At 37.9% G+C, this 25,662-nt stretch overlaps 1 protein-coding gene across 24 annotated transcripts in view; it reads right to left on the bottom strand.

Moving 5' to 3' along the window:
- Positions 1 to 25,662, bottom strand: part of ARHGAP21 (Rho GTPase activating protein 21) — a 140,274-nt gene that overhangs the window by 81,661 nt on the left and 32,951 nt on the right. For 23 of the 24 annotated variants that reach the window (NR_160021.1, NR_160022.1, NR_160023.1 and 20 more), the window contains exons 3-4: positions 4,944 to 5,123; positions 1,711 to 1,735 (exon numbers count right to left, since the gene is read on the bottom strand). Coding sequence is in view for 19 of the 24 variants with exons in the window: in XM_047425561.1 (XP_047281517.1) it covers positions 1,711 to 1,735; positions 4,944 to 5,123 (205 nt within the window). In the remaining 5 variants the exon portion in view is untranslated. Of the gene's footprint in view, positions 1 to 456; positions 503 to 1,710; positions 1,736 to 4,943; positions 5,124 to 25,662 lie in introns of all 24 variants that reach the window. The other variant, NM_001367449.1, reaches the window with a different exon arrangement.

The raw sequence follows: 25,662 nt of genomic DNA on the forward strand, positions 1-25,662 counted from the left end.
GGCCTTACACCTTCAGATTACTTTTGATAGTGCAAAAAAAAAAAAGGCCATTTCCTTCTCATTTTAACTCATAACCTTTTCAAGACCTCAAATGGTTATTACAAAGCTCCATCAACAGGTTGAGTGGTTAAACAATTTGTGGTATATTCATACAAACGAAAAAACAGTAGTACTATCAGTACCCATACATATAATACAGTGAAGGTCAAAAATATTATGCCTGACAAAAGAGTACATGCTGTATTATTTCATTTATAAAAAAAATCTAGAAGAGGCAAAAATTAACCTATACAGTGATAAAAATCAGATCAGTGATTGTCTAAAGACAGCAGAATAAAAAGGAGCACAAGGGAACTTTATGGAGTGATGGAAAGGTTGTTTTGATATCACATCTTAATTGGGATAGTGATTTCACGGGTTATACAGTCATCAAAACTTACCAAACTATACACTTACAATAGATGCAAATGTGGTATTCTTGCTAAACACGTATGACCTTGAACTAGGGAGAAAACATCAGATAAACTGAAAATGAAGGACATTCTAAAAAATAACTGATCAGTACTAGTAATAAAATACAAGGAAAGACTAAAGGGACACAACAAGTGAATACAACGTGGGATTCCGGAAGAGAACAAGGATACTAGCGGAAAAACTGGTGACATCCAAATAAAGTCTGTAGTTTACATAGTAGTATTGTACCAATGCTAATTGCTTAGTATTGTTGATTGTACCATGGTATTGTAAGTTTGTTTTGTTTTGTTTTGTTTTTTGAGACGGAGTCTCGCCCTGTCCCCCAGGCTGGAGTGCAGTGGAGCGATCTCGGCTCACTGCAAGCTCTGCCTCCCAGGTTCACGCCATTCTCCTGCCTCAGCCTCCTGAGTAGCTGGGATTACAGGCGCCCGCCACCACACCCGGCTAATATTTTGTATTTTTAGTAAAGACAGGATTTTCGCTGTGTTAGCCAGGATAGTCTCGATCTCCTGACCTTGTGATCCACCCGCCTCAGCCTCCCAAAGTGCTGGGATTACAGGCGTGAGCGACTGCGCCCGCCCCTGCCATGGTATTGTAAGTTTTTAACACTAGGGAAAGTAAAATAAAGGATACATGAAAATTCTCTGTACTATTTTTGCAACTTTGTTGTCTAAAATTATCTAGAAATAAAAGTTTTTAATGGGTGCATTTTGTTGAGTGTGAATTTTAACTCATTCAAGTTGATTTAAAATCAGTTATTAAGAAATAATTTTATCTCCAGCCTGATTGTCCTTTTACGTTCATTAATGTTTAAATCAACAGTAACATTAACTACAAGAATAACCCAAACCCTCTTCTTTTCAATATTTGACTCAATAAACCCAATTGATAAAACACACAGCATTTCTTACCTAAAATAATCACCTCATCTAGAAAGATTACTAATTGAAATAAAAATCTTAAGTGCTCTCCTTGGAATTATAATGATATATTCCTCCACAAAAACACATACAATTAACAACAAAACCATTACATGTTCAAATTAAGATGAGACAATGGAATTCATAAAACTTTGAAGTCCACAGTAAAAAACATTTAATTCTATGACTCTCACACCTAAGAACTATTATATATTTGAACACCAAAAATTATATCATCTCATTTAGTATCACTTAAAGAACAGAAAGAAATGGGTAGAAAAACATTCAGAGATAAATTAAAATGTTTATAGCATACCTCCTCTGTTTCCATTTTCTTCATCCTACAAATGAAAATATATATATACATATATGAGTACATATTTATAAACTCTTGTTAATCACAGCAAGGCTCAATTTAATTCAAATCGACCTCCCCAGATTGTGCCAATTACAATCTCACTAACAATATTCTTAATGATCACATTCTCTTCTATAGCCACTGGCAAGCTCAAAAGCAAACGTATAGCCCATCTTCAATAACAGTATAGGAAGTACCTTTTACTGGAAAGATAGAGTTTTCACAAATAGAGATAAGCAGGCTGTGGGTGAAGCCAATTTAGGGGTAAGACATCAGGAGTTCAGTTTTTGGCATTTGAGTGCGAGATTTCTAATGGAGATATCCAAGTGAAGTTGTCAAGTAGGCAGTTGGACAGATGGAAAGGTCAGGTCATCACTTACTGTACTATACTTAAATGTGCCTTTAAGGGATATTACAGGACCCAGAGCTGTCTATATAAATGGATTGGTCCCAAATTGCTACATATTTAAGTTCTTGTATTCAATTTTGAAGTTTATCTACTTGGTCTCTTTCATTGTTACCAAGCTGTCTTGCTGCCATGTTATCTACCTCTAGCTGGAAAATTAGAAAAGAAACCTTTAAAAACTAGTCTAAAAATACATTTTCAAATATTTGCTGAGCCTCTACCATACTGGAGCTACCATGTACCTTAGAAAGAAAAACAGACGTTCGGTGAAGGGCTGATAATTTATTACATAATTTTTTGACCTTTATTTTGGCTGCCCAATGTTTTTTTTTTTTCTTCTTCTGATTATAAGATCTAGTCTGAGACTGAGGTTGCCAGTTAAGTGACAAAATAAGGACACTGTTATATTAATTACACATTTTCTAAAAGCTATACAATATTAAAATTTTTAATTCGTTTGAAGTGAATTTATAAAATTTCATAATTAAAATGGAAAAGATTCCAATATATATTTTCCATGTAAAATTTACAAGACAGAGCCCTATTTACAAGAACATCTGTATTAAATAATAGCATTAATAGCTAAAATTTATTGAGCAATTACAGTGTCAATTTCTATGTTAAGTGTGTTACAAGTATTGTATCATTTAATCATCACACAGCCTGTGAGGAAGGTACTACTATTGTGTTAGTCGACTTATCCAAGGTCACAGATCTAACAGGAGGCAGAAATGGAACTCAAACCCAGGCTCTTTTGATGCCAATGACCATGCTGTTAACAAGCGTAAGCATGTCCTGGAATAGCATCATTTCATTCAAAGTTGTTTTGGTGTAACATTCACGAGAAAAATTAATTCCCCACTGGGGCCCTGTCTGTGTGAAGTTTGCACATTCTCCCTACGTCTGTGTGAGTTCTCTCCAGGTCCTATGGTTCCTTCCCACATGCCAAAACTGTGCCTGTTCGATTCACAGGTGTGCCCACATTGTCCCAGTCTGAACAAGCGTGGCTGTGTGTGTGCTCTGCAATGGGATGGACAGCATCCTGTCCAGGGTTAGGCCCCACCTCATGCCCTGAGCTGCATGAGCTGCCGGGATAGGCTCCAGCCACCCTCAACTCTGGACTTTTTATAACGCTTTCTTAAGTGTATAAACACCGCACATTTACTTCAATGTTTAATACTGGAAGTGTTTTGGTCTTTATTTACAAGTTTGGTGATTTTTTTTTTTTGACCAGAAATATGCCAAGTAAACTCTAGCCAACATAAGATCAGTTATCACTTAAATACGTTTCACATAAAGTTGCAGTTTCCAAAAATCTACTGACAATGTTAAGTGAGGGTTTATTGTACTGTGCTACTAAAATTTCTAGAAATATTTTCCAATAATAATAATACATGTTTATATAAGTTTGGTAAAATTATCTTATAAAAAAATTGTACTACCTATATGTTCATCATGACCCAAAGCTCTTATTCAAAACAAAACAAAAACAAAAAGACAAAAAATACACAATCCTAATGTAATTATCAAGTGCTCTCATATGTGACCTAATGCGTAAGTAACACTATTTGAGACTTTTTAATATCAGCTAGATTCTTAAGAGATCTAGTCCAGTTGTTTTATACACATTTGAGAAAACCCAAACAGATAAATTTCATTCTAAAGGTAGCAATTATTTACAATCCTTAAAAGATATTCAGTTGTTTCCTGTTATCTCAGTGTTAAAGTAACCAAATATAAAAAATTTTAAAAAAGAAAAGGAAAAAAAAGAGCTATTCAGTACTTCAAAAAAGCATACCCTGTAGGACATTACTAGAAAGACATATTTAACAAAAAATAATTTAAAACTGTGGTCTCTAGATAAAAATACGGACACTACTTTTTAAAAGACAGTTTTGGATTCATAGATATTTAGAATTAGAAAAGACTTTGTAATACTCTAGTTCAATTCCTACAAATGAAAATGGAAATCTAGAGGTCAAAAGAAGTGGCCTGGCCAGGGTCTCGTAACTCTTCTGAATATCATCATTTCCATTATACTATTGTGTAATAGTTCAGCATCAAGCATGTATATTGGTCAAATTCAAATCCTAGATCAACTACTTATCTGTTTTATGACCCAGATCAGTTTCCACATCTGTTATATGGGGCTAATAATACCACCTGCTCCACAGGATTCTGGCGTGGATAAAGTAAGATAACGCTCATAACGAATGGTAAGGAACACAGAGCAAGTACCCAGTGTGTCAACTGCACTTATAATTATCTCAGGCTGTCCTTTTCAGGCTGTGTTACTGTCCACTGAAGCCTGTCGATGTAATTCATTCTGATGAGAAGCTGTGTTTTTCAATTCTAACATGCCATCATATTACATATCTGAAAGTTAAGTATTGTTCTAATTCTACTAATTTTCTATAACTGCTAGAATATTTCAGTGAACCATTTCCTTTGCATAGTCTGCCCAGAAAACTCACTACCTTTCTAGATAATAAACAGTTACATATTAGAAAAAGTAGAAAGAAATCTGGAATTAGAAGTCCTTAAAAAATGCAGATTTGGAGTTTAGAATCACTATGATCTTTCAGAGAAGACTAAAGTTTCTGTTTTGTTCTTGAAGGTGGGAAAATACCTAAAAGGAGAAAAATAATATAATAAAAATTCAAATGTAATGCTTGATTCTTTTAAGACAGAAAAAAGGCCATAGGGAAGGGTAAGAGGAAGACTAGAAGGGGATAGGAATGGCCTTGTGGTTTTTTTTTCAAGTTGCGGTAACTATTTCTCTTACCTTATATGAAAATTGAATTGCAGACTCTGGGGGATAAACAATAAAATGTCTTAATGTAAAACCAAAGCCTTGAGATGTTCTTTTCAACGTAACTGTTTTGGGACCTGGCCAGGAGAATGTTTCATCTTCAGACAGTGATACAGTTTCACTTTGTTCTTTTCCATCTTTATTTTTTGAGACCTAAAGTGAAAAGATATTTAAAAGTTAACTACATAACACAATATACTTCCTCATCTAAAAAAATTCTATGTAAAAATGTTAATACCTGAGCGCCGATATGAACTATTTTCTGATGCATAAACTACACAAAGCATGCAATTATCAAAAACTAAAATTTATTATATTATTATAACAAAGCAAGCAATTATCAAAACCTAGAATTTTTTTCTAGAAAATAATGCCATAAAAAATTAGTCAGAAGAAAGAACTCTCAGAAAATAGAAATATAATTCCTAAAATTAGAAATGCAATAGAAGGAATGAAAGATAATACCAAAGAAATTTTAAAGAGCACTATGGATTAAGAAACAGAAAGCATGAAAGAACAGATATAAAACTCTGACGAAGAAATAAACCTAAACCTTATCAGATAGTCCAACAGCAACAAAGGACATTAGAAAATAACAGAAAAGGTCTTCAGGTTCTGAGCACGAATTCAATATCCACATAGATAACCCTTCTGATACCCTGGCCTTCTTGTTCTTTGACCTCCTCTCCTCCACTCTCAGCTTTCACTTGGTCATGACTGAAACCCCCTTCTAAGCCCAAATCAAGAATCCCACCTAGAACCACCACCTATTATTAGTTCACTATTTAGTTCATTCCCTCTCATCCCCCAACCCTTACAATTCTTCAATCTGGAGCTGACTCTACCACCCTTTCCCTGTCCCTCATCACCCCATGTTCTCACTTTCCTCTTAAGCCAGCTTCAATTCACTCCTTTACCCTCTCCCACTTCCTCAAAGTTGCCTGACAAAACCTAACCCTGGATAAATCAACACTGCCTACTCTGGGCCTGCTGTACTTATGCAGGTGAACGTGGGTAGAGAAAAACAAAAACTAAGCTATTTCACTCTAAGTTCATGACTACCAACCTCAAGAGAGCCTTTAGTGTTGTCAGTCAATAGTAACACATTTCTCTCTGGTCATTCATCCTAGATGACTATTTCATCCCTTTTCCCCACCCTCACCTGCAGCAGATGGTCCTGCTTTCTATTACACTCAGAAAACAGAAGCAATAAAATGAGAACTGAATCGCCTGCCATGATCACCCCATCAACCTGCAACCGTGCCCATGTTCCCCTGCCTTCCCTTCTGCTATGATGGATAAGCCATCCATTCTCACAAGGCCCCAGCAGTTGAGACTAGATTCCTCCCCTCTTACTATTCAAAGATACAGGTCCAACAATTCTCCCCTCTCTCTTTTGCATCACTTATTCTCTCTTTACTATATATAGCATTCCTATCTGCATACACATATTTTGTAATTTCTTTAATCTTAACAAAATTTTTTTTTTTTTTTTTGAGACAGGGTCTTGCTCTGTGGCCTGGGCTGGAGTGCAGTGCCATGATCATAGTTCACTGCAGACTGGATCACAGGGGCTCAGGAGATATTCCCACCTCACCCTCCCAGGTAGATGGGACTACAGGTGAATGTCATCAAGCTAATTTTTTTTTTTTTTTTTTTTTTTTTTGTAGAGACAAGGTCTCACTATGTTGCTCAGGCTGGTCTTGAGCTCCTATGCTCAAGTGATCCTCCTGGCTCAGCCTCCCAAAGTGGTGGGATTACAGGTGTGAGCCACCACACTTGGCCAAAATCCTCTCTTGATCACACACAACCCTCTCCAGCTACCACCTTGTTTGTCTGCTTCTCTTTGGCGCAAAACTCCTTAAAAGTTATCTGTACTTGCTGTTTCCAATTCTTTTCCTTCCATTTCTCTGAAATCCCTTTAAATCAGGCTTTTATCTGCCTGACTCCCAGAAACTGCTCTTGTCAGGGTCCCCCATGACTTCCACATTTTAAACTAAATGATCAATTCTCAGTTCTCATCTTATGTGCACCTTATTGGCACAGGCGTCACCTCCTCCTTCTTGAAGAATTTTCTCAACTTGACTTCTCACACTGATTTTTCTTCCAACTCACAGGCGACTTTGTCTCAGGCTCCTTTGTTCTCATCTGCTAAGTTCCTGAACCTGGAGGTACCCAGGGCTCAGTCTATGGACTTCTCTAGCTATACTCTGTCTTTTGGTGATTTCATTCCATTTCCTACATTAAACACCGTCTAATATGCAAATTATTCCCAAATCTGTATTTCTAACCCAAGCCTCTCTCCAACCTGATATGTATCTTAAACTTAACATGTCTGCATAGCTGCTAAGATTTTGTTTTAAATTACAACTCCAAGTTAATCCCAGCATTTTGAAAAGGTCACCTTTATTGAATTGCAAATGCTTGAATAGTCTTGCTTCTATTATATTTTTTATTATCTTCCACCAGTGAGTCTACCCACTCTGCCACAATAATTTGCCTCATATAAAGGTGAAAAGATAACTAGGTGGTAACATTGCCCAGCCAAACTTGCAGTAGGGGTGGCCATATGATTGAGTTCTAGTAAATGGAATGTTAATGAAAGTAATAATACAGTATACCAAAAACAAAAACAAAAACAAAAAAAAACAGCATTTCCATATACTAGCAATAAGCAACTGGAAATTTAAAACTTTTTAAAATACCATTTATAATTACATTAAAATATGAAATATTTAGGGATAAATCTGACAAAAGATTTGTAAGATCTACAAACTGAAGCTCCAAAACATTAAGAGATATTAAAGAATAAATAGAGAGATATACCATGTTCATGATTTAGAAGACGCAGTACTGTTACAATGTTAACTCTCCCCAAAGTGATCTATAAATCCATTGCAATCCCAATCAAAATCTCAGCAGATTTTTGTGTGCAAGCTGCTATGATATTTCTAAAATCCACTTTATAATGCAAAGAACCTAAAATAACCAAAACAACTTCAAATAAGAACAAAGTTGGAACACTCAGACTTCAAGACTTACAAAGCTACAGTTATCAACACAGTACAGTATTGGCATCAAGAAACACAGATTCACAGAACAGAATATGGAGTCCTGCTCTAGACCCACAACCACATGATGCTGCCATTCTACTCCTAGGTATTTATCCAAAAGAAACATGAACCCATGTCAATATTGTACAAGTATAATACAAATACTTGTAAACACAAATCGCCCTGGAACAACTGTGTGGAGGCTGTGTGCAAGAAAAGAAAAGAACTTTGATCTGTAACTCGTATCACAAACAAAAATTAACTCAAATGATCATACACCTAGGCCGGCCGTGGTGGCTCACGCCTGTAATCCCAGCACTTTGGGAGGCCGAGGCAGGCAGATCACTTGAGGCCAGGAGTTCGAGACCAGCCTGGCCAACATGGTGAAACCTCATCTCTACTAAAAATACAAAAATTAGCTGGGTGTGGTGGCACACACCTATAATCCCCACTACTTGAGAGGCTAAGGCAGAAGAATTGCTTGAACTCAGAAGGTGGAGGTTGCAGTGAGCCGAGATTACACCACTACACTCCAGCCTGGGTGCAGAGTGAGACTCTGTCTCAAAAAAGTCAAATAAAATAAATGATCATAAACCTAAATGTAACACTTAAAACTATGAAACTTCTGGAAGAAAACAGGGGAAAATCTTTATGAACTTAGGTCAAGATTTCTTAGATATAACCCCAAGGAACATAATCCATTAACAGCAACAACAAAAAATATTCACTAGAAGAACATACAATGAATTTTTTTTAAAAAGATAAATGAAACTTCATCAAAATTAAGACCCTCTGCTCTTCGAAAGACACTTCCTGGCCAGTCATGGTGGCTCACACCTGTAATCCCAGCACTTTGGGAGACTGAGGCAGGAGGATCTCAGCCAGGAGTTTGAGACCTGCCTGGGCAACACAGGGAGACCCTGTCTCTACACAAAATTTAAAAATTAGCCAGGTAGCTGGGCACAGTGGCTCACACCTGTAATCCCAGCACTTTGGGAGGCTAAAGTGAGGGGATCACCTGAGGTCAGGAGTTCAAGACCAATCTGGCCAACATGGTGAAACCCCGTCTCTACTAAAAATACAAAAATTAGCCAGGTGTGGTGGCATGCGCCTGTAATCCCAGCTACTCAGGAGAATCGCTTGAACCAGGGAGGCGGAGGTTGCAGCAAGCCGAGATCATGTCACTGCACTCCAGCCTGGGCAACAGAGCCAGACTCTGTCTCAAAACAAACAAACAAATTAGCCAGGTGTGGTGGTGCATGCCTGTAGTCCCAGCTACTCAGGAGGCTAAGGCATGAGAATCACCTGAGCCCAGGAGGTTGAAGCTACAGTGAGCTGTGATCACACCACTGCACTCCAGCCTGGGTTACAGAATGAAACCCTGCCTCAAAAAATATATATATTTTATGAAAAGTATACACACACACACACACGTATATACATACACACATACACTTTTATGAAAACGAAAAGGCAAGCCATAGAATGGGAGAATATATTTGCAAATCATGTATCTGATAAAGGACTTGTATCTAGAATATATAAAGAACTCTCAAAATTCAATAATGGAAATGCAAACTAAAACCATAATGAAATACCACTGCACACATAATAGATGTGCTATATAAAAACTAACCATACTGAGTGTTGGTCAGGACGTGAAGCAACTAGAACTCTCAGACACTGCTAGTGGGAATGTAAAATGGTACACTTTGGAAAACAGTCTGACAGTTTCTTAAGTTAAACATACACCTACCATATGACACCGCCATTCTACTCATAGAGAAATTGAAAGCATACGTCAACAGAAAGACTTGTACATAAATGTGCATAGCAACTTTATTATAGCCACAAACTGGAAAACAACTGAAATATTTCAGTAACAGATGAATGGATAACTAAACTGTGACACAGCCAAACAACAGAATGCTACTTATCAATAAAATGAAATAAACTATTGATATATGTAGCAATATGTTAATTAGGCTGAGTTAAAGAACCCAGATCAAAGAAGAAGAGGAGGAGGAGAAGGAGTACATACTGTATGCTCCATTTATATAAATCCTAGAAAAATTCTAAATACTGGTCTATACTGACTGAAAGCAGATTAGCAGTTGCTCTGGGTGGGTGTAAGGGTGGAGATTATTATGAAGCAGCATGAGGAAATGTGAAGGGTGGTGAATAACCTTGACTGTGGTGATGTTTTCACTGGTGCATACTTGCGTATAAACTTACCGAACTGTACAGTTTACACATGTACAGTTGATTATATATCAAACATACCTCAATAAAGACATTTAAACAAAAGAAGCAGCAATAGGATGCTTATCATGAAATTCAAGAAAGTGGTTATCCTGAGGGGATAGGAGTGTGTGAATGAGGAAACATGGGGCTGAGATCTGGGGAAAACACACACATTACTCCAACAGCATGGGTAATGTATAAGTTAAAATCTGTGGGGAGTTCCTAAGGGTTCATTTTATTATACCATATAAAGTCAATATGATATACAAAAAGATATATATGTGCGCATCTTTTTGTATACAGCAAATATAAACATAAAAAGTAGATCGGGCTCAGTGGCTCATGCCTGTAATCACAGCACTTTGGGAGGCTGAGGCAGGCAGATCACCTGAGGTCAGGAGTTTGAGACTAGCCTGGCCAACATGGTGAAACCCCATCTCTATTAAAAATACAAAAATTAGCTGAGTGCAATGGCACGTGCCTGTAATCCCAGCTACTTGAGAGGCTGAGGCAGGAGAAGCACTAGAACCTGGCAGGCGGAGGCTGCAGTGAGCTGAGGGCGCCACGGCACTCCAGCCTGGGCAACATAGAGAGAGACTCCGTGTCAGGGGGAAAAAACAAAAAACCCTAAAAAGTAAAAATGATTCTAGAATTTAACACTGGAAAAAATAACTATTAATCATTGTTTCCTATCTCCCATCATTCTTCAAGAACACAAGATTCTATTTTGAGTCTATCTCTTTTTTGCCAACTTTTATTGTAGGTTCTGAGTGTACATGTGCAGTTTTGTTACAAAAGTGTACTGCATTACTGCATGCTGCTGAGGACTGGCATAGGAATGTGATTCTCTCTTTTTATCTGACCCAGAATTTTAATTTCCAGTTTAGCATTGTGGTTCAGAACATAGGCTCGCATTCTCGCTTATAAGTGGGAGTTAAACAATGGGTACACATGGACATACAGAGGGGAAAAATAGATACTGGAGACTCCAAAAGCGGGGAGGGTGGAAAGGGATGAGGGTGGAAAATTACCCGTACAATGTTCACTATTCAGGTGATGGTTATGCTAAAAGCCCAGACTTCACCCCTACGCAATATACCCAGGTAACAAAACTGCACTTGTACCCCCTAAATCTATAAACATAATTTGAAAAAAAGAACTTAGGATTTGGAGATTTGGAGTCAGCTGAATCAGGCACTAACTCTGGCTCTGCCATTTGCTAGTTGCAGTATAGTGGACAATTATTTAACGTCTCTAAGCCTCAGTTTTCTCATCATTAAAATAAGAATAAATGCACTTCTCCTAAAGAATGAATGTGGATTAAATATGAAATGTGTATGAAGAGCAGAGTACATAAACATTTAATAAATATTAACTCCGGGCCAGGCACAGTGGCTCACACCTGTAATCCGAGCACTTTGAGAGGCTGAGGCAGGCAGATTATGAGGTCAGGAGTTCGAGATCAGCCTGGCCAAAGAGACCAGCCTGGCCAACCTGGTGAAGCCCCGTCTCTACTAAAAATACAAAAATTAGCTGGGCGTGGTGGTGGGCATCTGTAATCCCAGCTACTCTGGCGGCTAAGGAAGGAGAATTGCTGGAACCCAGGAGGCGGAGGTTGCAGTGAGCCAAGAACACGCCATTGTACTCCTGCCTAAGCGACAGAGCGAGACTCCGACTCTAAATAAATAAATATTAACTCCTCATTCTTTCTCTGCAAGCTCCATTGTCTTTTCAAATCTATTTTTCCTGATAGCTCTTTAAATCACAATCTCTCACAACACTTTAACATACTTGCATGTAAAATGCAACTAGAAAGATGCATCAAAGCAAATAATGGAGCATTGGAAAAAACTGGGCTAGCAATCAATAGTGTAAGTAAGAAATAAGAAAATAAGAAACTGGATCTTGGATGAACTGCTAACTTTTTCCTCCCTATTCTTAGCTATTTGTGTGAATGAAGTCTCTGAAGTCATCTATGGAGGCTATGTATATTTGAAACTAACTTATCATAAATCCGTTGTAGTTTATCCCCCACTTCTAGGATTTAGCGGAGCATAACATGAGAGACTCAAGCTAAGCCCCAAGCGACTGCAAAAGCAAGCATATGATTAGGTAGCGTTTATAGGGTAAGAGGTATGCTAGGCTTAGTTTCCCAAATAGTCTAGTTAAGCTGTAAGTAATGACTGGATCCTCCTTTTGAGATCCAAATGAGAGTTCATTGTATATGTGCAGATCACGGTCTCATTCACTGACATACTCTTCCTTCATTCAATCAATAAATGAATATTTATTGAGGACCTACTGTTTACCCAACCTTGTTCCACAGAGTAGATACACGGATGAATAAAATAGTCATTAAAATTTTAGTTCTTTTTTAAATTAAGCTTCTCATTTTGAGACAACTGTAGATTCACAGGTAGTTTTAAGAAATAATACACAGTCAGGCATGGTGGCTCATGCCTGTAATCCCAGCACTTAGGGAGGCAGAGGTGGGAGGGCAGCTTGAGCCCAGGAGTTCGAGACCAGCCTGGGCAACATAGTGAGACCTCACTCTCCACAAAAAGGAAAAAAAAAAGAGAGAGAGAGGAAAAGAAAGATAGAGAGATCCTATGTAATCTTTACGCAATTTCCTTCAACAGTAACTTCTTAGAAAACTATAGTACAACATCACAACCAGGTTACTGACACAGATACAATCCACTCGTGTTATTCATATTTCTCCAGTTTTACCTGTACTCGTTGTGTGTTTAGTTCTGTGCAGGGTTATCACATTATGTAAGTGTATATACCCACCATACCAGTCAAGATACAGAAGTGTCGCATCCCCACAAGGATCTCTCCTGTTGCCCTTTCATAACTATACCTACACCTGCTCTCTCCCTCCACCTCCTACATGTCCCCTAAAACCCTTGGCAACCACTAATCTGTTTTTCTTTTGGTTTGTTTCTGTCTTTTTGTTGTTGTTGTTTTGTTTATTTTGAGACAGTCTTGCTCTGTGGCCCAGGCTGGAATGCAGTGGTATAATCCGGCTCACTGCAGCCTTAACCTCCAATGATCAAGCAATCCTCCCACCTCAGCCTCCCAAGTAGCTGGGTCTACAGGCATGCACCGCCATCATGCCTGGCTGCCTGGTTTGTTTTGAGGGTTTTTGTTTGTTTGTTTGTTTTTGTTTTTAGAGACAGGGTCTCACTATGTTGCCCAGGCTGGCCTCAAACTCCTGGGCTGATGTTATCCTCCTGCCTTAGCCTCCCAAATTAATCTGTTCTATATTTCCATTATTTTGTCATTTCAAGAATGTTATGCAAATAGAATCATACAGTCAGTAACCATTTGGGATTGGCTTTTTTCACTTAGAATAATTCTCTGGACATTCACCGAGGTTGCTGCATGTATCTATAGTTCATTCCTTTTCATTGCTGAGTTGTATTCCATGGAATGGATGTACCACATTTTGTTTAACCATTTATCTGTTAAAAGACATCTCAGCTGTTTCAAGTTTTGGGTTACTATGAATAAATATGCTATGAACATTCACGTACAGGTTTTTGTATGAACACAATTTACATTTCCCTGGAATAAATGTCCAAGAGTGCTACTGTTGGGTCATATGTCATCTTAGCACATCTGGGCTGCTATAACAAAATATCATAGGCTAGGTTGCTTATAAACAACTGAAATTTATTTCTCATGGTTCTAGAGGCCCAGGAAGCCCAAGATCAAGGCACCGGCAGATTCAGTGTTTGGTGAAGGCCTACTTCCTAAATAGGCCGCACATTCTTGATTACATGGTGGAAGGGCAAGGTCGTTTCCTGGGGCTTCTTTTTTATAGGGGCATGAATCCCATTCATGGGGCTCCATCCTCAGAAACTAATCTCCCAAAGGGCCTACCCTCCTAAAACCATCACCTTGAGGGTTTGGGTGTCAACATATAAATTTTTGGAGGACATTCAGACCACAGCATATAATTACATGTTTACTTTTATAAGAAACTGCCAAACTGCTTTTCAGACTGGTTGTACCATTTTACATGCCCACCAGCAGTGTATAAGTGATCCATTTCTCCACATCCTTCACAGGACTTGGTATTGCCACTATTGTTTATTTTAGCCATTGTGACAAGTGGATAATGGTATCTCACTGTGATCTTAATTTGTACTTCCCTTATGGCAAATGATGATGAGTATCTTTTCATGTGCTTAGCTGCCATCCCATTATATAATTTTAGAGCACAAAAGAGTCTTTTAAGATTTAATCTAAATATTTTAAGTTTCAGGGTACATGTGCACAACGTGCAGGTTTGTTACATATGTATACATGTGCCATGTTGGTGTGCTGCACCCATTAACTCGTCATTTAACATTAGGTATATCTCCTAATGCTATCCCTCCCCTCTCCTCCCACCCCACAACAGGCCCCAGTGTGTGATGTTCCCCTTCCTGTGTCCATGTGTTCTCATTGTTCAATTCCCACCCTAAAACTTAAAGTATAATAATTAAAAAAGAAGAAAAGAAAAAAAAAGATTTAATCTAAATAAGTGAACCCTTCACACATGATGTCCAGATTTGCTAAGTGATTTATCCAAGATTGTGGCTGGTTTACATCACAGTAAGAATTAAAATAATGGTCTCCTGAATTCGATGCTAGAATATTTTCTCTATGTTAAATTGTTTTTCATCATCTCTTTTATTTCATAATCTACATATTCTTCCCCGTAACAGCTTTTTGATCTAATTTATTATCTTTTATATTTTCCTTTTCCTGTGGGACTCATATTTCAACACTTTAAAAACTATACAGTATTAAATTTATTTCTAATGTATTATTATGACTTGGCCTCACAGCTCCCAAATATATCCAAGTTTTCTTTTGTTGAAAATCATATAGGTAACTCTTGGATCATGGTTACATGCTTCACATTTCTGAATTGAGCTGCTATGTCTTGTTTTACTGGGCTCTTTACACAAACAGAGAAGATGGGATGCAGAGTAGGCAATTTCTTTCTTGCTCTCTGCAAACTAATTAAGATTTCTGAATGTGACATAGCTCAGGTGTCTCAGTCATTCCACCCACCCAGAACATAACACTGTAGCTCCTCTAGTCTCCTAGAGGGTTACATTTCTATGGGCCTTCACAGAAGCGGAAGATAAAAAAAATATACATATGTGCCCTCTTCACTCCTTCTACTCACCCACATTGCCGCTGATCTGTTAGATCTTATAACAAGGGCAAGCTATAGGCACACACAGTGAAGGAGCCAGCAGTCATGGGTTTCTCCACCTAAGAAATATCCCTCTACACACATCTTATTTCCCTAATGTGAGTGCCAATTCATGTATCAGAGTGCAAGAAGCCAAGAAGTGACTGGAATAATAGCAGTTAAATTCCTGTGGACTAAGAACTGTCATTTGACTCCCTTAAAAGACTTCATAACAAGGTCATTTGATTGAATAATAACTCAAGGTTAAAAGAAACCAAAATAAAGATTTAAAAACTAATTCCATAAAAATTAGATATAACAACTAGACAAAGCAAACTCAAAGAGGGTGAAAGAGAGTTTAAGGGGAAATCACTAATCATAAAGCAAATAAAGGTGATAAAAACCTCACATAAGGGAATGCAAACCGGCATCCCAAACAGGAACAATGGAAATGTTCCAAAAGACTGCAATGAAAGTTTCACAACTGCATAAAGTTGCTAAAAAACCATTGCAATGTATGCTTACAATGGATGGATCTTATAGTTACTAAGTCATACTTAAATAAAAATGTTATTTAGATAGACATGTTACATCTGGTTTTCACAGATAAAAAGTACAAAGTCTACATGTTCAACAGAGATGAAAGAGATAGGGCTGTCACAAAAGTAAATGCAAGGGAATTATAAAAGAGTGCCTGTATAAACAATATATAAGTCCTAATCTATCTTTTGTAATTATTTGCACTTTAAGTAGAACAGGGTCCTAGTATATTCCAGGAATCATTCATAAGACCCAAGAAAGCATTTTATACTGTGTTCTCTTAAAAGATAACTGGTATTGATTCCATCATGTAACTAAGATTACAAGCCTAACTCCCATGGACTCTTGGAAAGCATTTTGTCTTTTTTTTTTTCCATTTTACCATCAATATTAATAATACCACTTACTTAAAGTAAAATTTCGTTCCTTACATTAGGGCCAGTTTCATGGTGATGCAACACCTTTTTAGGATGTCATTAGCTGAGAAAAAACAAGACAGGATTTGAATGTGTGCAGCCACGTGGCTTTTTATTGTTGTATATAAACTGTTGGAACTAGTATGGTATGACCGTCACCTGGCTCGTTTTTTCTTTTGTAACACTGGAAGATGGCATGCTTGGGGGGAAGGACATGCACTCTGACTAGACTGCCCGGGTCTGGATTCTTGATTTGTTAAGTTGTGGCTCGTGGACAAGCTCCTTAACACAACTGTGCCTTGTCTTTAACATGAGGATGATAATGACAGTGCACTTCATATTCTTGTTAAGAAGATTAAATGAGTTTGTAAAGGGATTAAAACAGTACCAGCCACATAGTACACGCACTATTTAACTACCTAAAAAAAAAAAACATAGGGGTCACTGATACATAAAGGCTTATATCAAAAACGTATTGTGATACCACTTTTGAGATACTTGGGAAAACAGTATATAAAATATTGTTTTGTCTGAAAGGAAAAACAAAATCTTGAATATCCATAAAACTTTTAGCATATTTTTGCAGATATCACAAGTGTGATGGAAAAACAGGCTTGCTGTGAGGAATTTGTCAAAAATACACAGCTAATAGTAGGTGATGGAGCTAGCCCATGCTTTTCTCTATATGCCATGAATAGGAAGGGAATAATATGTTTTTCAACATTTAAATATTGCCTATTTTTAAATTACTCTATCCATAGTCCTAATGCCACAGAGATCAATCTTATTGTAAATTATTCCTCACATAGTAGGATTCTTTGACAGGGTATTTCTCTGCAAAATTTTTCAACATGTGGAAATCTGACGTTGTGAACTAAAGGGTTGTTTAAATTCCCACTGAGAGAAAAGACTCTTGAATACAGTTTATTGCATGCTAAGTATGCTTGATAACTTCACAAGCAGCTTGTTTACAGAGTTTCTAATTTTAAAGATTTCTTTCTCTTTTTTTTTTTGTCAATAAAGGTCGACAATGGGAAATGCTTTGATGATAAATATCTAGACGTATCTAGATGTTTTTTCCCAAAAAGTAATTCTGTTTTTCAGCGGGTATTGAACATTTAAGAGATAAAAGATGATGACTGCCTGTAATCCCAGCACTTTGAGGCCGAGGCAGGCGGATCACGAGGTCAGGAGATTGAGACCATCCTGGCTAACACAGTGAAACCCCCGTCTCCACTAAAAATACAAAAAATTAGCCAGGCGTGGTGGCGGACACCTGTGGTCCCAGCTGCTTGAGAGGCTGAGACAGGAGAATGGCGTGAACCCGGGAGGCGGAGCATGCAGTGAGTGGAGATCACACCAGTGCACTCCAGCCTGGGCAACACAGCGAAACTCCATCTCAAAAAAAAAAAAAAAAAAAAGATGATGACTAATGAGACTGTAATACTCTCACAACATGAACTTGAACAATCTAAGTGACTTTAGTTGATAATACTTCCAATTAAACATTTGGGCTTAATTTTTTTTAAATGTAGCTTTCAATGTTCAACTTCATTATTTACTTGGACATTCATTTATAATAATACTTTTCATATAGCTGGCTTTCATAAACTAACTGTTGACATGAGTCCTTTCTGCTGTATCTGTATGGTTTCATGTATGGATTATTTTTGAATCACTGATATTTTCACTATATTTATTTCTGTATTCAGGGTTCTGGTTTTTTAATTTAATTTTTACCTGGATAGCACATTTCTCTGTCTTTCTCTCTCTGATTTACTTTATTTTCAAAGGTAAGTTTTTTGTTTTTTTTTTGAGACAGAGTCTCGCTCTGTTGCCCAGGCTGGAGTGCAGTGGCATGAGCCTGGCTCACTGCAACCTCCACCTCCCAAGCCCAAGCAATCCTCCCACCTCAGCCTAGGGTATGTCTTTATAGTATAATGCCAGAAGATGGTTTGTTAATATAAATTGTAAAGGAATAACTCAGAAACCTGGTCTAGGCTATGTCCATAAGCAGCTGCTACCATACTCTGTCCCTGTCAGCCTCTCAACCTAGAAGGGCACATGGTTAGGAAACCACCTTCCCTTTGGACATGCACACATCTCACACAATGTTTTACCTGCAAAGTTTCAATTGTACTCCTCAGTGTTATTCTCAGGAAAATTAAAAACCATCTACTTCTCATTTTTCAGAAACAGTTATGGCTTCAGTTTTAGAGAAAAACAAATCAAAATAAAAATACTTTATAAAGTAATTTGCATATGCTACATACACTGCATGACTGTTTCCTAAAAAAGACAGAAAGCCTAGGCCAGGCATGGTGGCTCACACCTGTAATCCCAGCACATTGGGAGGCCAAGGTGGGCGGATCGCTTCAGGTCAGGAATTTGAGACCAGCTTGGCCAACGTATCAAAACACCGTCTCTACTGAAAATACAAAAATTAGCTGGGCGTGGTGGTGCACGCCTGTAATTCCAGGAACTCAGGAGGCCGAGGTACAAGAATCACTTGAACAAGGGAGGCAGAGGTTGCAGTGAGCCAAGATCGTGCCATTGCACTCCAGCCTTGGTTACAGAATGACACCCTGACTGAAAAGAAAAAAAAAACCCAGCAAAAAAACAACTTGAAGATACAACACTATAAAACACTCTTCAAACACTAACCATAATTAAATGATAATACAAGATCCCCAAAATTTAACTGACAACTGCCACATTTAACTATTACTACAAATTTGAGAGGCATATACAGTATTTACATTTTTTAAAATGAGGCTCAGAGAAATGCGTACTTCAAGCATTTTCTTTTTAAATGATATCTTAAATAACTTAGATCTTGCTGAAACAAAAACTCCTGTCAAAAACAAAACTTCCCAGGAGTTTATCAGTTTGACTGTTGAATAACTGAGCAAACTAGGAATGGGTTTTTTAATTTATGTTTTATTTTTAATTTTTGTTTTTTGAGATAGGATCTTACTCTCTCACCCAGGCTGGAATGCAGTGGCGTGATCACAGCTCACTGCAACCTCCACCTCCTGGGTTCAAGCAATTCTCCTGCCTCAGCCTCCTAAGTGGCTGGGATTACAGGCGCCCGCCATCTTGCCCGGCTAATTTTTGTACTTTTAGTAGAGACAGGGTTTCACCACGTTTGCCAGGCTGGTCTCGAACTCCTGATATCAGGTGATCCGCCCCCCTCAGCCTCCCAAAGTGCTGGGATTACAGGCGTGAGCCACCGCGCCCGGCCTAGGAATGGGTTAACAAATAATGACTGATATTCGGACTGCTATAATCATTTAAATCTGCTTTATATACACTTTAGTTTCCTTTTTTTTGTAAAGAAACACAGAAGGATAAATCAATATATTTAAAATTGGGGGGAGGAGGGGTTGCAGTATAAAAATGTAATTTTGGCCATTCATGTATTTCTTCCTCAACAAACCATGTAGCAGTACTCTAATAATAAATATTCAAATTTGTTTGTTTTTTCCATTCCTATATTTTAGTAAACATGCAACTTCCTAAAGGCAGAAAGAGCCAAATGATGGAAAGAAATAATTTGCTGAATACATATTCAAAAGAGTTTAGTGGCAGTCAATCATATTTAGTATAGGTCCAAAACAACAAGAGCATCCAATCAATATAGATATTAGCAGTTTATAGTGTCATAAGCATTTGGCCCCTACTCTCAAAGCCTAACTAGCTCTATTAAGCATTTATAATCAGTTACCTTTTAAGCATGTCTACCAAAATCAAAGATCACGATTTTATTTACATTCCTGATTTGCTGTTAACTTCCCAAAGAGTATCTACCAGTCATAAAGATACAATGAGATTATCATTTAGTGCAACAAACCTCTTTCTTTTCTAAATATAATACCGTATTGATAGAATTGTCTTCTTGGCTGGTGCAGTGGCTCACACCTGTAATCCCAGCACTTTGGGAGGCCGAGGTGGGCGGATCACTTGAGGTCAGGAGTTCAAGATCAGCCTGGCCAACATGGTAAAACCCCGTCTCTACTAGAAATACAAAAATTTGTCAGGCATGGTGGCAGACGCCAGTAATCCCAGCTACTCAGGAGGCTGAGGCAGGAGAATCGCTTGAACCTGGGAAGTGGAGGTTGCAGTGAGCCAAGATCGCACCACTGCACTCCAGTTTAGTTAACCCACTCACTAACATTATTTTCAATAAGGAGAGGACACTGAAGAAAAGATATTAAGCTAAAACAAATCAAGAAAAACATGGTACCACACTGTTAAGATGAAATCAAATGGGAATTCACATATACTTCACTGGAAGTACAATCTTCCTATAAACCTACTTGGCAATATCTACTAAGAAACTTCAATTTTATACTTGTTAAGCTAGTAAATAATGAAATAAGAGATAAGGGCAAAAAGACAGATTACAAGCTATTCATTCCAAGGTATAAATAACTCAAATTGGAAACTACTTAGGCCGGACATGGTGAGTCATGCCTGTAATCCCAGCACTTTGGGAAGCCGAGGCAAGAGGACTGCTTGAGCCCAGGAGTTGAAACCAGCTGTGTAACATGATGAGGCCCTGTCTCTACAAAAAATTTAAAAATCAGCCAGACATAGTAGCATGCATCTGTGGTCCAAGCTACATGGGAGGCTAAGGCAGGTGGATCCCTTGAGCCCAAGAGGTCAAGGCTGCAGTGAGCCGAGATGGCGCCACACACTCCAGCCTGGGCAACAGAGTGAGACCCTATCTCAAATAAATAAATAAATAAATAAAAATAAAGATAAATAAACTCAAACTGGAAACTATGTTGTCTAACAACAACAAAAAAGAATAGTAAGTAAATTATGATACAGCTCCTAAAGTCATGACTGTGAACATTTTTCAATGGCATGAGAAAATGCCCAAAATATAATGTTAAGCAAAAATATAAAACTCCCCAATATGATCAAAATTATTTTAATCACATACACACTTTTTGGAATTAGGAGCTGTTTAAATTTTTTCCTGAACGATTCATGGATTTTCCATAATGAACATGCACGCAAGCAGTTGTTACCTTTCACATCCAGTTGCAATATTGGGCGGCACATCCCTGCAGATGAGTTATGACTGTTTTCACATGTTTCCCGTGTACTAACTGAATAAACTATTCCTTTCTCAGCACCAAAGTGCCTTACAGCAGAACTTCCCGATCAGTGTACTTTAAGGCTTAAAAGCAGTTTCTAAGCCAGGTGAGGTGACTCACATCCATAATCCCAGCACTTTGGGAGACTGAGGCAGGCAATGGTTTGAGCCCAGAAGTTCACCTGCTACTTCCAGGAGAGCAAGGGCAACCTGATACCAACCTGGCCAACATGGTGAAACCCCATTTCTACAAAAAATACAAAATTTAGCCAGGTGTGGTGGTGCATGCCTGTAGTCCAAGCTACTCAGGAGGCTGAGGTGGGAGGGTGAGCCCATGAGGTCTGGGTGATGGAGACCCTGTCTCAAAGAAAAAAAAAGGCAGTTTCCCAGGCCCTCTACTGTAGAGAGTACCTTTACTGTAGGACTTACTAACCATATTATAATTGCTTGTTCATACATCTATCTCTTTAATCACAGAGCAGCTTCCTGACAAGATGCCCAAGTCTTACTCTAGTGCCCAACACAAAACCTGACAGAAAGCAGGACCTCAAAAATGAATGAAATTTATACGAAATGAGTAAAGTTTACATAAAACAAAGATAATAGAAAATGAAGACTTTAAAACATTGTTGGGGAATTGTTCTTATTTCCTTATTTCTCCATTTTCCTCATTTGAGGCAGTGAGTGCATATAGCACATTTCACAACAACTAGACAAAACCAGAGAAACAGACATAAACTCAAATACAGATATGCCTATTTTTACACATTTTCTTGTAAAGAAGTTTTACCAAATAGAGATATTTTCAAAAGCTACTTTATGATATGAATAAAATCTTGTTTACTCTGAATCAAGGAACAGATTGCATTTCTGTGGTTAAAAACAATTACTTCCCTTCCCTTTGGGTAGACAGGAATCACCAAATTAAAAGTCGAGCTTAAATTTCAGTTCATCTTAGCTACCAATGAAATAATGCAATCCCCTTTGAGCAGATACCAGCAATACCAAGCACGAATATAGGCTACGGAAGAAAAAGCTACAGACGGTCAGACACATATCATGTGGTTTCACTATTTTGCTTGATGAGCTATGATTATCTTGACTATGATTATCAGAAACTCATCTTATTAAATGTATGTATAAATAAGTTTTTATAATGTAAGTTAATTTTGAGTTATCAGTAATACTATATCAGCAACCAATGTTAATGGTGAACTCATTTTCATTGGCAACACTTGAGAGACTACACAATTTCAAAGAATTTTATAGCTAGAAGGAAAGTCAGAGATAACAGAATTCAATTTGGTGGCCAGGTGGAGTGGCTCATGCCTGTAATCCCAGCACTCTGGGAGGCCTAGGCGGGTGGATCACCTGAGGTCAGAAGTTCGAGGCCAGCCTGGCCAACATGGCGAAACCCCATCTCTACTAAAAATACAAAAATTAGCTGAAAGTGGTGGCGTGCCATCTGTAATCCCAGGTACTCAGGAGGCTGGGGCAGGAGAATCCCTTGAACCAAGGGAGGTGGAGGTTGAAGTGAGCCGAGATGGCACCACTGAACTCCAGCCTGGGTGACAGAGAAAGACTCCGTCTCAAAAAAAAAAATTCAATTTGGTTATTCACCATTTTATAGAACAGAACACTGACACTCCAAGAGGTTAAATGATTTGCCAAATGTTACACAAATTTTGGTGATCCAAACTATGCATTAGGGTCCAAATTAAGGCAGGACAGACCAGTAAGAGAGTACTGCTCCAATAGGCCAAGACTAGATGGGGAAACAACTTATAGAAGATGACGAAATGGTTTTTCACATGTGTAAAAATATAGGGTCTCTATGTATCAGCTAGGGTGAAGGCAGTCTCATATCAGACGTGAATCACCCATTTACTCATTAGTTCTCAGTGAAGGTTGACTGTCATAGTCTGCTATTTCCAGGAGAGCAAGGGCATCCTGACACAGGAGTTAAGCTCCGTCCTAAAAGAACCCATGCCCCATGAATAGGAAGAAAGATGGAAGCTTAAAGGGAGTAGCATCAAATATACCTAGAATTACTCAATCTCAGAGATGGGGTTTCCTTTTTCTTTCCCTTCCTCCCACTCCAAATCTCTGAGACCTTTTGCTGAAAGATAGCTTAGAACAGAAATTCAATATACAAATATTGAATACTGTATACAGAGCTGCTCTGCTTGGGAGAGAGGCAAGGGCGTTTGTACAGAAACCTACTCTACTAATTCCTTGGAAACACTAACAGTCTGATAGAGACTTTTAAAATCATAGATCTAGTTGAGCCAATTTATTTTACAAATACAGACACTGAGTCCCTGAAAGACTCACTGGTGGCCTCATAGCTAATTAGTGACACAGCTTGGACTAGAACCTCAGTTTCCAATCTTCTGATCTTGGAACTTTTCCACCATACCACTAACAAATTGTTTTAACAATCTGAAGATAATAGCTATTGGCTAATGTATCATTTTTTTTCTAATTTATATTTATGAAAACATAATGTATGTTCACTTAGGATACACCAGAAAATAAATCTAAGCAAAAAGGAAATAATTTAACTTACCTGTCATTCCCCGTCTAGAGAAAATTATGTCAATACTTCGAGACATATACATATTCTTCCAGACTTTTTCATACATAAATATACACTGGCTGGAAGTGGTGGCTCACACCTATAATTCCAACACTTTGGGAGGCCAAGGTGGGCGGATCGCCAGAGCCCAGGAATTCAAGACCAGCCTGGGCAATATGGCAAAACCCCATCTCTACAAAAAATACAAAAAATTAGCCCAGCATGGTGGCACGTGCCTGTAGTCTCAGCTACCCGGGAGGCTGAGGTAGAAGGATCATCTGAGCCCGGAAGGTTGAGGCTGCAGTGAGCCGTGATCACGCCACTGCACTCCAGCCTGGACATCAGGGTCAAGGTCTCTTGTCTCAAAAATAATTATATCTATATGTATGTATATATGTGTGTGTATATATATGTATATATGTATATGTATGTGTATATATATGTATATATGTATGTGTATATATATGTATATATGTATATGTATGTGTATATATACATGTATATATGTATATGTATGTGTATATATACATGTATATATGTATATGTATGTATATGTATATATGTATATGTGTGTGTGTGTGTGTGTATATACACATACACACAAAAAATACATACTTTAGGAAAATCTTCTAACCTATTTCTTTTTATTCAATATTTTATGTAAGTCTTTCCATATCAATTACATATACCTACATCATTATTTTTAAAGACTACATGGTATTTCATTACATAAATAACATTTTATTTGTTCACTCTTCTCTTTGTTCATTATCTTTTTTACACTACATTACTACTACTATTATTATAACTACAACTGCCTTGTAGACCAGTGTCTATGAAAAACCATTGAGAATTACATTAGGATAAATTCCTAAGAATGGAGCTGCTGGCTCAAATGTTTACTTTTTGTTTGTTTTTAGTTTTAGACACAATATTTTAAAGTGCCATCCAGAAAAGCAGGGAACCAAATCCACTGACAGCATGAGATTCCTATATCCATATTCCAGCCAACACTGAGTATTTTTTTCATCTTTGCAAATATGTTAAAGATGAAAATGGTTCTTAATGTTTTAATTTTTTTATTCTTTCATTACTAGTGAGGCTAGACATCTTGGCATATAACATGCTATTCTAAGTGCCCCATAATATAAATAACATAGAAAAACAGGATGGGCGTGGTGGCTCACTCTTGTAATCCCAGCACTTTGGGAGGCCAAGACAGGCACATCACCTGAGGTGGCGAGTTCGAGACCATCCTGATCAACATGGTGAAACCCTGTCTCTACTAAAAATACAAAAATTAGCAGGTGTGGTAGCATGTGCCTGTAGTTCCAGCTACTCAGGACGCTGAGGCAAAAGAATCGCTTGAACCCAGGAGGTGGAGGTTGCAGTGAGCCGAGATCGCGCCACTGCACTCCAGCCTGAGTGACAGAGGGAGACTCCATCTCAAAAAAAAAAATATATATATATATATACACATATATATATACACACACACACATAAACACACACATACACACACACACATATAAAACATAGAAAGGCAGATACAATATA

Source organism: Homo sapiens, chromosome 10 (assembly GCF_000001405.40).
Source record: "Homo sapiens chromosome 10, GRCh38.p14 Primary Assembly".
Taxonomy (NCBI): Eukaryota; Metazoa; Chordata; class Mammalia; order Primates; family Hominidae; genus Homo; species Homo sapiens.